At 43.3% G+C, this 14,697-nt stretch overlaps 1 protein-coding gene across 2 annotated transcripts in view; it reads left to right on the top strand.

The window, feature by feature from the left end:
• Positions 1-14,697, top strand: part of SF3A3 (splicing factor 3a subunit 3) — a 33,048-nt gene that overhangs the window by 9,175 nt on the left and 9,176 nt on the right. For both annotated transcript variants that reach the window (NM_001320830.2, NM_006802.4), the window contains 8 exons: positions 124-262; positions 1,315-1,383; positions 1,793-1,860; positions 2,021-2,128; positions 3,895-3,964; positions 11,113-11,277; positions 11,384-11,494; positions 12,714-12,804. In NM_001320830.2, coding sequence (NP_001307759.1) covers positions 124-262; positions 1,315-1,383; positions 1,793-1,860; positions 2,021-2,128; positions 3,895-3,964; positions 11,113-11,277; positions 11,384-11,494; positions 12,714-12,804 — 821 coding nt within the window. The remainder of the gene's footprint in view (positions 1-123; positions 263-1,314; positions 1,384-1,792; positions 1,861-2,020; positions 2,129-3,894; positions 3,965-11,112; positions 11,278-11,383; positions 11,495-12,713; positions 12,805-14,697) is intronic.

Here is a 14,697-nt window from a genome sequence, read left to right as displayed (position 1 = left end):
AAAAAAGAGTATTAAAAAGATAGCATTACTAGAATTATAAGTACTTTATATTCTGCAGGGAATAACAAGATACCAAAAATAGAAACCCTTTTTGCTTTGTCTGCATTGTGTGTTCCTCTGTAGATACCTAGAGATGCTGCTTGAGTACCTTCAGGATTACACAGATAGAGTGAAGCCTCTCCAAGATCAGAATGAACTTTTTGGGAAGATTCAGGCTGAGTTTGAGAAGAAATGGGAGAATGGGACCTTTCCTGGATGGCCGGTGAGCTTCAGTGGGATGTGAATGGTGGACATGCCAGGGAATTGAAGTAATTATTTTCCTTTATCTTGAGCTTCCACTTTAGGGCATTAGGTATCAATTCCTTGGTATCACTTGTGACAATGAGGTATTCCCTGCCAAGTATGCTATGTTTTTTTTTTTTGGAGACGGAGTTTCGCTTTTGTTGCCCAGGCTGGAGTACAATGGCGGGATCTCGGCTCACCTCAACCTCCGCTTCCCGGGTTCAAGCAGTTCTCCTGCCTCAGCCTCCCGAGTAACTGGGATTACAGGCACGCGCCTCCACACCCGGCTAATTTTGTGTTTTTAGTGGGGACAGGGTTTCTCCATATTTGTCAGGCTGGTCTCAAATTCCCGACCTCAGGTGATCCGCCCACCTCGGCCTCCCAAAGTGCTGGGATTACAGGTGTGAGCCACCGCACCTGGCCGTATGTGAGTTTTTTTGAGTGTACTTTGGAGCAAGACTGCCAGGGTCCACTTGCCTTTGACTGTGCCCAGATTTTCACCAATCACATCATTACTGCTATGTGGTTCCTGCCAACCAAGAGCTTATCAGATCATATGTTAGGAATCTACATTCTCACTTCTAGGGATAAACATGAGTTTTTCCTGAACTCTCCAGGGAGAGAATGTGGACAAACCTTAGCTTCATCCTAAACCTGGTGGGGTTTTTTTGTTTTTTGTTTTGTTTTGTTTTGTTTTGTTTTTTGGGAGACAAAGTCTCCATCTGGCTTCTAGGCTGAAGTACAGTGGCATGATCATACCTCACTGCTGCAGCCTCAACCTTGTGGGCTCAAGAGATCTTCCCACCTTAGACTCCTGAGTAGCTGGGACCACAGGCACATGCCATCATGCCCAGCTAATTCAGATAATTTTTTGTAGAGACAAGATTTCACCATGTTTCCCTGCCTGGTCTCTAACTCCTGAACTCAAGCAATTCACCTATCTTGGCCTCCCAAAATGCTGAGATTACAGGTGTGAGCCACCACACCTGGCCTAAACCTGGATCTTAATAAATACCATATTGTTCTTTCCAGAAAGAGACAAGCAGTGCCCTGACCCATGCTGGAGCCCATCTTGACCTCTCTGCATTCTCCTCCTGGGAGGTATGTTTCCTTCAGCAGTAGTAGTGTTCTCTCTGTCTATTTTTCTGTCTTTAAAGACTGCTCTCCTGTCTTTAATACCATGGTTGTGTTGTGATAAGGCACTATTTCTTGAGATCAAGCATCTACAAAGAAAGTAGCAAGGCAAAAAGAAAAAAATTACTACTTGGGAAACTGAAATAATTATTCTAACTACATTAAGCCGTAGTAAAGTAAATGGAACACTATCAGTATGGTTAAGTCTGAAGATAACTATAGATTCAGTCCTCTGGAGAGTTTAGACTTACTGCTAGATTGGCTGTGAAATGTGTGGTCCTGCCACAGCCTCAGGAACACCCACCCTCTGGCCTGCATTTGGGGTTTCCCAAAAATCTGTTAATGTAATATTGTAATTTTTCTCTTCTTTGTATAGGAGTTGGCTTCTCTGGGTTTGGACAGATTGAAATCTGCTCTCTTAGCTTTAGGCTTGAAATGTGGCGGGTAAGGAATAGTTTTTCTATCAAAACTATCGATTTACTGTGTGTTTGCACAGTCTTCTAAGTAGCTCTGATTCCATTTTTTTTGTTGCTCCACACTGCAAAAATAAGCCAGCCTGTGTGGTAAAGTAACCCTAAAATCCTTTGCCGTCCTGTCTCCTTAGGACCCTAGAAGAGCGAGCCCAGAGACTATTCAGTACCAAAGGAAAGTCCCTGGAGTCACTTGATACCTCTTTGTTTGCCAAAAATCCCAAGTCAAAGGGCACCAAGCGGTGAGTGGCTGGGGTAGCACTGCTGCTTGTGGCTTTTAAATGTTATTCCCATGCAGAATTTTTAACCACAGTGGAGACTTTAAAGCCTGCTTTATCTCCGTTATTGGTTGACAGAGATCCAGTCTGCTCTTTATCTCTGCTAATAGCAGAGAGTACTATCACTGTTAATATAAACCAAGGACCGTCTGTATTCATCTGATTGAGAGCACATCAAGTTTCTAAATTTGAAACCATATTCATGGCACCTTTAATAGGTTATGGAGGCTAAAAGGCTAAATAGGTTCAAAACCTATTTTTCTAAGCTTATTTTTGGTAAAGTTGAATCTAATTCTTGAGCTACATACTTATACAAGGTATTTTCTTTTTTCTTTTTTTTTTTTTTTGAGACAGTCTCACTCTGTTGCCCAAGCTGGAGTGCAGTGGTGCAATCTCAGCTCACTGGAACGTCCACCTCCTGGGTTCAAAAGATTTTCCTGCCTCAGCCTCCTGAGTAGCTGGGACTACAGGCACGCACCACCACACATGGCTGATTTTTTGTATTTTTAGTAGAGATGGGGTTTCATCATGTTAGCCAGGCTGGTCTGCAACTCCTGAGCTTAAGTGATCCACCTGCCTTGGCCTCCCAAAGTGCTGCGATTATAGGCGCGAGCCACCGTGCCCGACCCAGGGTTGTTTTTTTTGTTTGTTTGTTTTTTTCTTTTTTGAGATGGAATCTCGCTCTGTTGCCCAGGCTGGAGTGCAGTGGCACAATCTCGGCTCACTGCAAACTCCGCCTTCTGGGTTCAAGTGATTCTGCTGCCTCAGCCTCCCGAGTAGCTGGGATTACAGATGTGCAACACCACATTGGCTAATTTTTGTGTGTTTTTTGTTTGTTTGTTTTTGAGACGGAGTCTTCCTCTGTCACCCAGGCTCAAGTGCAGTGGCGCAATCTCGGCTCGCTGCAACCTCCACCGCCCTGCTTGAAGCGATTTTCCTGCCTCACTCTCCCGAGTAGCTGAGATTACCAGAGTGCGCCACCATGCCTGGCTAGTTTTTGTATTTTTAGTAGAGACGGGGTTTCACCATGTTGGCCAGGCTGGTCATGAACTCCTGACCTCAGGTGATCCACCTGCCTCAGCCTCCCACAGTGGTGGGATTACAGGCATGTGAGCCACCGTGCCCAGCTAATTTTTGTATTTTTAGTAGAGAGAGGGTTTCACCATGTTGGCGAGGTTGGTCACAAACTCCCAACCTCAAGTGATCGCCAGCCTCAGCCTCCCAAAATGCTGGGATTACAGGCATGAGCCACCGAGCCTGGCCCAGTATTTTCTTAATGTACGTTTTTTTCTAATTCTCACAACAACCCAGAAAATTAGTTGTTATCCTGAGTTTTTGCAGATAAGGACTCAGAAAAGTTATGGAATGTGTCCACTCTCTCATAGTTCTAAGTAGCAGAGTCAGGATTTGGGCCTAGGTCTACCTGCTGCAGAGCTTGCTCTTATATACCACATTTCCTTTGTAGATTATAATGATGGAAATGTAAGCGGTCTTGATGTGTCCTTCATCTTCTAAGTGAGGTCATAGAGGAAGCCTCCATGCATTCTGAGAAATACCCTCAGTATTTGTCAGAGAGTCCTGAGATGAACAGAGCATTTGCTTTCATAGCATCGTATTTCTCATGTGCTTATAATTTTTAATGCAGTTGTGCAATAAATGTTCCCAGATATAGGGAACAAAACAATGGATGAGAGAATCCTTGAGTGAAACAGCTTGTTTCTTTTTCTCAGAGACACTGAAAGGAACAAAGACATTGCTTTTCTAGAAGCCCAGATCTATGAATATGTAGAGATTCTCGGGGTAAGTGACTGACTGCTGAAAGTGGAAAATGGTATAAAGCACAGGAGTTAAAGGGAGAGGAACTCACAGAAGATACTTTTTCATTAGGTTCAAAAGAGGAGTGGATAGCTGATAAACTAGTATGGCACAAAATAGAGGTCAGGGTACAAGGCTCTTCAGTAAGTTCCTATTCTGTTGTTAGATGATACTCCCAAAGTTGCCCAATTCCCATAAAGCCAGTCATGGAGAATAGAGTCCCCTCACAATATAATGTCCAGAATAGTGCAGATTCTGTGCCTGAGCTTTAGAAAATACTCAGGAGTAGCCCACAAAGCAGACACTCAAAGGGCAAGTAACAGAAAGGCTACTCAAAGTGGCCTTTCAGTTATGACTTATGAAAAGGCATTTTCATAAGTCATCTCATGTAAGTCAACTTACATGTTCATAAGATTATGAGAAACTTAGTAGGGCTAGAATATTATTAGTACAAAGCTGGCAGTGAATGTTCTTGAATATTTCAGGAGGAGCTGAAGTGTGGGTTGGGGTAGAGAAAGGCCTAGCCTGACCAGTATGCTTGTCTCAGAGAGAAAGCAGGGAGAGGAGTAGGAGGAAAAGAAATCTCTTTCCAGGAAGAAAAAGTGGAAGAAAGGGCAGCACTCATCCAGAAAAGATGATCAGTGTCTCTGGAGTCCTTCAGAAGACCAGCCTTTCTGATTGTGTCTGCTGTGTACAGTTTTTTTTTTTTTTTTGAGACAGAGTCTTGCTCTGTCACCCAGGCTGGAGTACAGTGGTGTAATCCGGGCTCACTGCAACCTCCACCTCCAGGGTTCAAGCAAGTCTCCTGCCTCAGCCTCCTGACTAGCTGGGACTACAGGCATGCGCCACCACGCCCGACTAGTTTTTTGTATTTTTAGTAGAGACAGGGTTTCACCATATTGGTCAGGCTGGTCTCGAAATCCTGACCTCGTGATCCGCTTGCCTCGGCCTCCCAAAGTGCTGGGATTACAGGCGTGAGCCACCGCGCCCAGCCCAATTTTTAACTCTCAGAGCCTTTCCCTTTACACATACTCGCATGGTCCGTTGAGTGGATGGCTCTGGATCAGATAGCTTGTTCACATATTTTTGTTAATTGCCGTGGACATTTTCATTCGGCCTTTGAGGACCATTCGTATAATAGCTGTAGAACTAGTCACCTGTGATTCTGTTATGACTGCTTTCAGTAAAAGGCTAGCTAGACATTGGACATTGGAGAGATATATTCTCCGCTGTGAACTTGGGCTGTGCTAGTGTGGACAGCAGGCTGAATTGCCAGTCTTGTGAGTGGCTGGGAGGCCACTCATGCCCTTGACATGAGATTTGTCCACCACTTTCTCCCTCTTTTTTTTTTTTGAAATAGTATCTCACTCTGTCACCCAGGCTGGAGTGCAGTGGCGGGATCTCAGCTCACTGCAACCTCCGCCTCCTGGGTTCAAGTGATTCCTGTGCCTCAGCCTCCCTGGTAGCTGGGACTACAGGTGTGTGCCACCACACCTGGCTAATTTTTGTATTTTTGGTAGAGACAGGGTTTTGTCTTGTTGGCCAGGCTGGTCTTGAATTCCTGGCCTCAAGTGATCCGCCTGCCTTGGCCTCCCAAAGTGCTGGAGCCACTCGACGGCCTCTCCATCCTTTAAGAGCATTTTGCTTTCCCTGCCAGGAGATGGCACTATTCTCTTCGGAATTCCAACCAGTTCTAGCCAAATACTTTCCAGAAGTTGCTCTCACTATGAACTGATAAGATTTTTGCCATTATTATACCATTTGTTGATGTCTGTTGGTTTTTGGACATTATGCAAATTTTTTTGATACAATAGTGAATAAGACACAGCCTCTTGCCCTTAAGAAACTCATTTTGTGGTTAGGGGAGACAAATAATTACAATATAATGTGATACATACCTGAATAAAGTGAGGTTGAGTCTTCTAAGTAGAAAGAGAGAAGGGAGAAGAAAAAGTTTCTGGTAGAGGAAACAGCAAACACAAAGATACAACAGTATTAGATAAAATTATATGTTCAGGAAATGAGAAATGCAGTGTGTGTGGAATATGGCTTATGAGGGAGGGAATGGTCGGAGAAAACTCTGTCAGAGAGTTATGTTGGAAATTTGGACTTTGCCTTATAAGCAGTAGGAAGCCAATAAAAGTTCTCTTAAGTAGGATAGCGTGCCACTACAGATTTGGGTTTTTAAACAGATAAACCTGGTAGCAAAATGGAAATTGGATTGGAATGAGGAGAGACTCAAGGCAAGTTAGAAAGTGGTCATCTTGGGCCGGGCGCAGTGGCTCATGCCCGTAATCCCAGCCCTTTGTGAGGCCAAGGCGGGCAGATCACAAGGTCAGGAGATCGAGACCATCCTGGCTAACACTGTGAAACCCTGTCTCTACTAAAAGTATAAAAAATTAGCCAGGCATAGTGGCGGGCATCTGTAGTCCCAGCTACTCGGGAGGCTGAGGCAGGAGAATGGCATGAACCCAGGAGGCAGAGGTTGCAGTGAGCCGAGATTGCGCCACTGCACTCCAGCTTGGGCGACAGAGCAAGACTCCATCTCAAAAAAAAAAAAAAAAAAAAAAAGTGGTCATCTTGGTGAGGAAAGGAGAAGAAAGTCCTGGTTAAGGAAATATTTTTTTTTTAATTTTTTTTTATACTTTAAGTTCTAGGGTACATGTGCACAACGTGTAGGTTTGTTACATATGTGTACATGTGCCATGTTGGTGTGCTGCACCCGTTAACTCGTCATTTACATTAGGTATATCTCCTAATGCTATCCCTCCCCCGTCCTCCAACCCCACAACAGGTCCCGATGTGTGATGTTCCCCACCCTGTGTCCAAGTATTCTCATTGTTCAATTCCCACCTATGAGTGAGAACATTCGGTGTTTGGTTTTCTGTCCTTGCGATAGTTTGCTCAGAATGATGGTTTCTAGCTTCATCCATGTCCCTACAAAGGACACGAACTCATCCTTTTTTATGGCTGCATAGTATTCCATGGTGTATATGTGCAACATTTTCTTAATCCAGTCTATTATTGATGGACATTTGGGTTGGTTCCAAGTCTTTATTATTGTGACTAGTGCTGCAATAAACGTAAGTGTGCATGTGTCTTTATAGCAGCATTATTTACAATCCTTTGGATATATGCCCAGTAATGGGATGGCTGGGTCAAATGGTATTTCTAGTTCTAGATCCTTGAGGAATCGCCACACTGTCTTCCACAATGGTTGAACTAGTTTACAGTCCCACCAACAGTGTAAAAGCGTTCCTGTTTCTCCACATCCTCTCCAGCACCTGTTGTTTCCTGACTTTTTAATCATCGCCATTCTAACTGGTGTGAGATGGTATCTCATTGTGGTTTTGATTTGCATTTCTCTTTGTAGATTCTTTGTAGTTCTTTGTAGATTCTGGATATTAGCCCTTTGTCAGATGGGTAAATTGTAAACATTTTCTCCCATTCTGTAGGTTGCCTGTTCACTCTGATGGTAGTTTCTTTTGCTGTGCAGAAGCTCTTTAGTGTAATTACATCCGATTTGTCAGTTTTGGCTTTTTTTTGCCATTGCTTTTGGTGTTTTAGTCATGAAGTCCTCGCCCATGCCTATGGCCTGAATGGTATTGCCTAGGTTTTCTTCTAGGGTTTTTATGGTTTTAGGTTTAACATTTAAGTCTTTTTTTCTTTTTCTTTTTCTTTTTTTTGTTGGAGACAGAGTCTCACTCTGTCGCCCAGGCTGGAGTGTAGTGGCATGATCCCAGCTCACTGCAACCTCCACCTCCTGGTTCCAAGCGATTCTCCTGCCTCAGCCTCCCGAGTAGCTGGGACTACAAGCATGTGCCACCATGCCCAGTTAATTTTGTGTATTTAGTGAGACAGGGTTTCACCATGTTAGCCAGGCTGATCTCGAACTCCCGACCTCAGGTGATCCACCCACCTTGGCCTCCCAAAGTGCTGGGATTACAGGCGTGAGCCACCGCACCCGGCCCACATTTAAGTCTTTAATCCATCTTGAATTAATTTTTGTATAGGGTGTAAGGAAGGAATCCAGTTTCAGCTTTCTACATATGTCTAGCCAGTTTTCCCAGCACCATTTATTAAATAGGGAATCCTTTCCCCATTTCTTGTTTTTGTCAGGTTTGTCAAAGATCAGATGGTTGTAGATGTGTCATACTATTTCCAAGGACTCCGTTCTGTTCCATTGGTCTATATCTCTGTTTTGATACCAGTACCATGCTGTTTTGGTTACTGTAGCCTTGTAGTATAGTTTGAAGTCAGATAGCGTGATGCCTCCAGCTTTGTTCTTTTGGCTTAGGATTGTCTTGGCAAGGCAGGCTCTTTTTTGGTTCCATGTGAACTTTCAAGTAGTTTTTTCCAATTCTGTGAAGAAATTGGTAAGCTTGTGAAGTCATTGGTAGCTTGATGGGGATGGCATTGAGTCTATAAATTACCTTGGGCAGTATGGCCATTTTCACAATATTGATTCTTCCTATCCATGAGCATGGAATGTTCTTCCATTTCTTTGTGTCCTCTTTCATTTCGTTGAGCAGTGGTTTGTAGTTCTCCTTGAAGAGGTCCTTCACATCCCTTGTAAGCTGGATTCCTAGGTATTTTATTCTCTTTGAAGGAATTGTGAAGGGGAGTTCACTCATGATTTGGCTCTCCGTTTATCTGTTATTGGTGTATAAGAATGCTTGTGATTTTTGCACATGATTTTGTATCCTGAGACTTTGCTGAAGTTGCTTATCAGCTTAAGGAGATTTTGGGCTGAGACAATGGAGTTTTCTAAATGTACAATCATGTCATCTGCAAACAGGGACAATTTGACTTCCTTTTTTCCTAATTGAATACCCTTTATTTCTTTCTCCTGCCTGATTGCCCTGGCCGGAACTTCCAACACTATGTTGAATTGGAGTGGTGAGAAAGGGCATCCCTGTCTTGTGCCAGTTTTCAAAGGGAATGCTTCCAGTTTTTGCCCATTCAGTATGATATTGGCTGTGGGTTTGTCATAAATGGCTCTTATTATTTTGAGAAACATCCTATTAATACCTAGTTTATTGAGAGTTTTTAGCATGAAGGGCTGTTGAATTTTGTCAAAGGCCTTTTCTGCATCTATTGAGATAATCATGTGGTTTTTGTCTTTGGTTCTGTTTATATGATGGATTACGTTTATTGATTTGCGTATGTTGAACCAGCCTTGCATCACAGGGATGAAGCCAACTTGATCATGGTGGATAAGTTTTTGATGTGCTGCTGGATTCAGTTTGCCAGTATTTTATTGAGGATTTTTGGATCGATGTTCATCAGGGATATTGTCTAAAATTCTCTTTTTTTTGTTGTGGTCTCTGCCAGGCTTTGGTATCAGGATGATGTTGGCCTCATAAAATGAGTTAGGGAGGATTCCCTCTTTTCCTATTGATTAGAATAGTTTCAGAAGGAATGGTACCAGCTCTTTTTGTACCTCTGGTAGAACTCGGCTGTGAATCCGTCTGGTCCTGGACTTTTTTTTGGTTGGTAGGCTATTAATTATTGCCTCAGTTTCAGAACCTGTTATTGGTCTATTCAGGGATTCAACTTCTTCCTGGTTTAGTCTTGGGAGGGTGTATGTGTCCAGGAATTTATCCATTTCTTCTAGATTTTCTAGTTTGTTTGTGTAGAGGTGTTTATAGTATTCTCTGATGGTAGTTTGTATTTCTGTGGGATCGGTGTTGATATCTCCTTTTTCGTTTTTTATTGCGTCTGTTTGATTCTTCTCTCTTCTTTATTAGTCTTGCTAGCGGTCTTATCAATTTTGTTGATCTTTTCAAAAAACCAGCTCCTGGATTCATTGATTTTTTTTGAAGGGTTTTTTTGTGTGTCTGTCTCCTTCACTTCTCCTCTGATCTTAATTATTTCTTGCCTTCTGCTAGCTTTTGAATGTGTTTGCTCTTGCTTCTCTAGTTCTTTTAATTGTGATGTTAGGGTGTCAGTTTTAGATCTTTCCTGCTTTCTTTTGTGGACATTTAGTGCTATAAATTTCCCTTTACACGCTGCTTTAAATGCGTCCCAGAGATTCTGGTATGTTGTGTCTTTGTGCTCATTGGTTTCCAAGAACACTTTATTTCTGCCTTCATTTCGTTATTTATCCAGTAGTCATTCAGGAGCAGGTTGTTCAGTTTCCATGTAGTTGAGCGGTTTTGAGTGAGTTTCTTAATCCTGAGTTCTAGTTTGACTGCACTGTCGTCTGAGAGACAGTTTGTTATAATTTCTGTTCTTTTACATTTGCTGAGGAGTGCTTTACTTCCAACTATGTGGTCAATTTTGGAATAAGTGTGATGTGGTGCTGAGAAGAATGTATATTCTGTTGATTTGGGGTGGAGAGTTCTGTAGATGTCTATTAGGTCCGCTTGGTGCAGAGCTGAGTTCAATTCCTGGATATCCTTGTTAACTTTGTCTCGTTGATCTGTCTAATGTTGACAGTGGGGTGTTAAAGTTTCCCATTATTATTGTGTGGGAGTCTAAGTCTCTTTGTAGGTCTCTGAGGACTTGCTTTATGAATCTGGGTGCTCCTGTATTGTGTGCATATTTTTTTTTTTTTTTTTTGAGAAGGAGTCTCACTCTGTCGCCCAGGCTGGAGTGCAGTGGCGGGATCAGAGCTCACTGCATCCTCAAACTCCTGGGCTCAAGCAGTCCTCCTAACTCAGCCTCCTAAAGAGCTGGGATCACAGGTGCACACCTCCATGCCTAGCCAATTTGTAAATGTTTTGTAGAGATGAGATCCCATTGTGTTGCCCAGGCTGATGTCAAACTCCTGGCCTCAAGTGATTCTCCCACCCCAGCCTCCAAAAGTGATGGGATTACAGGCGTGAGCCACCACACCCAGCCAGGAAATATTTTAGAGTCAGAATAGATGAGACTGTTTTCTGTTGTTCTATAATAGCCTCAGATGAGTAATTAGGCAAGTGATGTAAAACCTTTGACTCTTTTCTTTGGGATCAGGTAGAGCCTGCTGATAAGGAGTTCTGATATGAAGGCAAGATTTTCCTTTATTCTGTAAGAAAGAACCTTATCCTTGGAAGTAAGGGGTCAGCAAAAGTTACAGGAAAACAGGAAATTTCCCTTCTTATTCTGCACTACTTTTTTCTGACTTTTCATTTATGGACCTGCTTTAGGAACAGCGACATCTCACTCATGAAAATGTACAGCGCAAGCAAGCCAGGACAGGAGAAGAGCGAGAAGAAGAGGAAGAAGAGCAGATCAGTGAGAGTGAGAGTGAAGATGAAGAGAACGAGATCATTTACAACCCCAAAAACCTGCCACTTGGCTGGGATGGCAAAGTAAGTCTCAGCACTACCACTTTCTCCCCATTCCCCATTTTGGAAACAGATACAGAGTTTAGTAGGCTAACACTTCTTGGTTTTGTTTTGTTTTTTTCTTTTTTAGCCTATTCCCTACTGGCTGTATAAGCTTCATGGCCTAAATATCAACTACAACTGTGAGATTTGTGGAAACTACACCTACCGAGGGCCCAAAGCCTTCCAGCGACACTTTGCTGTAAGGAATTCAGAGCCATTTTTCCTGGGAATTGAAGTAAAAACATGAGACTTTTAGAGAAAAGAGTAGGAGCAGCCTATGTGGACCACTGGTGTCCAGAGCTGAAGGGAATCAGAGAAGGATGGTTTTAAAATCAAGCCCATGGCATTTGACTTTTGGCACCAATGTTAGTCTTAAATACCTGAGATAGTTTCTGGAGGAATTCTACCGCACCACTCTTTGAACCTTATTTGGTTTTCTCTTGCCTGCTCTTAAACTTCTCTGTTTTTGTCTTTCTGCTAGCATTTTAGACCAATTTCTGACTTCTTGGTTATTTCTCTACCCCATTGCTAATACTCAAGATAAAAAATAGGGCTGACTGATCTCTTTCAGATCTTAAATGGATCTTTGCCTCTTGAGAAAATAAAAAATGAAGGGGCTGATATTTATCAAGCCATTCTTGAGACAGGGTATTGTCCGGATGATACTGCTGTAAGTGGGCTCACCTCTAAGTGGGCTCTACTTAGAGTTCTTAGATTTTGGAAGGAAATTTTACAGAAAGGAAAACATTTATGCTAGACCAAGGATGACAAATTTATATGAACTCCTCTCCCCCTCTCTGAGTCATACATATTACTAATTGATAATGGGTCTTTTTTGCTGAGCCCATGAGTGAGTTCTGAATCCTTCTCAGCACCTCCTACAATGATTGGAGTTGGCATCCAGGATAAAGCCCATGCCATTTACCATCCCTTAGTTAAAACTGCCATCATGTCAGTGTATAATCTCCCTGCTCTCTCCTCACCACATCATTGTGCCTAATAAAAGTCTTCTCCTTTACCTACAAAGATGATGCTGACCTGCCATTAGTAACCCCTATTCATGCAGGTGTTTGGAGTTGCTGGGGCTTTGGTAAGTTCTCCTGCAATATGGGAGATGTAGTGAGAGTTGTGATGTTTTTCTGTGATCTTGACCCAGAGGTTTTATGTATAAGACTACTGGGTCTAGAATCTAGGTTTACAAGCCAACCCAGTGAGGCAAACAATGCAGTGCTGCTTTGAAATACCACCCTTTTGTCAGTCACAGCCAGCTGTTTACAAACATGAATCACAAAAGGAATGCTACCTTTAGGTGGAGTCTTGCAAAGGGCCATGTTAGGATTTATGAGTAGAATGGAGTTAGTGCTCTGTGTTCAGCTATTCCCATTTCACATGATCCTTTTGCTTCTCTCTTCTCCCAGGAATGGCGTCATGCTCATGGCATGAGGTGTTTGGGCATCCCAAACACTGCTCACTTTGCTAATGTGACACAGATTGAAGATGCTGTCTCCTGTAAGTAAGATTTATTTACTGTCTCCTAGGCGAGTACAAATGGCTCTACTCCTTCAATTCAGCATCCTAATACCCTGTGTATCCAGGGTTAAAGGCAGTAGGTTGTGGATATGTAAAATCTAGGACAGTTGTATAATTATTGCATTTCTGTTTTTTGTTTTGTGTTTTTTTGTTTTGTTTTGAGATGGATGGAGTCTCGCTCTGTCGCCAGGCTGGAGTGTAATGGTGCAGTCTTGGCCCACTGCAACCTCTGCCTCCCGGGCGCAAGCGATTCTCCTGCCTCAGCCTACCGAGTAGCTGGGACTACAGGCACGTGCCACCACACCTGGCTAATTTTTTTTTTTTTTTTTTTTTTTTTTTTTTTTTGTGACGGAGTCTCACTCTGTCGCCCAGGTTGGAGTGCAGTGGCATGATCTCGGCTCACTGCAAGTTCCACCTCCTGGGTTCATGCCATTCTCCTGCCTCAGCCTCCCGGTAGCTGGGACTACAGGCGCCCGCCACCACACTTGGCTAATTTTTTGTGTTTTTAGTAGAGACAGGGTTTCACAGTGTTAGCCAGGATGGTCTTGATCTCCTGACCTCATGATCCGCCCGCCTTGGCCTCCCAAAGTGCTGGGATTACAGGCATGAGCCGCCACACCTGGCTAATTTTTTGTATTTTTAGTAGAGACGGGGTTTCACTGTGTGAGCCAGGATGGCCTTGAACTCCCGACCTCAGGTGATCCGCCCACTTCAGCCTCCCAAAGTGCTGGGATTATAGGCGTGAGCCACCATGCCCAGCCTTTGTTTCTGAGACGAGTCTCACTCTGTCACCAGGCTGGAGTGCAGTGGCACGATCTTGGCTCCTGCAACCTCCGTCTCCTGGGCTCAAGCAATTCTCCTGCCTCAGCCTCCCTAGTACCTGGGATTACAGGCATGTGCCACCATGCCCAGCTAATTTTTCTATTTTTAGTAGAGATGGGCTTTCATCATGTTGGCCAGGCTGGTTGAGGTGACGAACTCCTGACCTCAAGTGATCCACCCATGTTGGCCTCCCAAAGTGCTGGGATAACAGGCGTGAGCCACCGCGCCTAATTATTGCATTTTTTTTTTTTTTTTTTTTTTTTTTGAGATGGAGTTTCGCTCATATTGCCCAGGCTGGAGTGCAATGGTGCGATCTCGGCTCACTGCAACCTGTGCCTCCTGGGTTCAAGCGATTCTCCTGCCTCAGCCTCCCGAGTAGCTGGGATTACAAGTATGCGCCACCATGCCTGGCTAATTTTGTACTTTTAGTAGAGACGGGTTTCTCCATGTTGGTCAGGCTGGTCTTGAACTCCTGACCTCAGGTGATCTGCCCACCTCGGCCTCCCAAAGTGCTGCGATTACAGGCGTGATCCACCGTGCCCAGCTAATTATTGCATTTTTAAGAGAAATGAATTAGTCGGCAATACTGATTGTTTCTCCTTTGAGAAGAGCTCTGTGCTGAGTATAAACCAGGGCTTTTAGCCTGGGTCTGTGAACTCCCTTTTATGCAAGATTTTGATTGAATGGTTGTATGGATAGTTTTCTGAATTGATTTTAATGTGTTAAATAATGACTGATATAAAGGAAAATATAGAAGTACCCTCAGTAAGCTTGTGTTAGAGGCTATAGAAACACAGCAGCAAAATACCTCTTGAAGAAAGTGAAGCGGAGTGCATGTCAGGGAATGTGCTGCTGAAGCACATAGAGGACCACCGCCAGGCTTCCTGTTTTCCCAGCAGTAGTAGCTTTCTCTGCCATTAACATTTTCATGGCAGCCTTTTCTTTTCTTCTTTTTTTTTAATTTAATTTAATTAATTAATTTATTTATTTATTTTTTTGAGACAGAGTCTTGCTCTGTCACCCAAGCTGGAGTGCAGTAGCGTGATCTCA

Source organism: Homo sapiens, chromosome 1, assembly GCF_000001405.40.
Source record: "Homo sapiens chromosome 1, GRCh38.p14 Primary Assembly".
Lineage (NCBI taxonomy): Eukaryota > Metazoa > Chordata > Mammalia > Primates > Hominidae > Homo > Homo sapiens.
The sequence above is the reverse complement of the archived record's forward strand: the minus strand, read 5'-3'. Positions and strand labels throughout refer to the sequence as shown.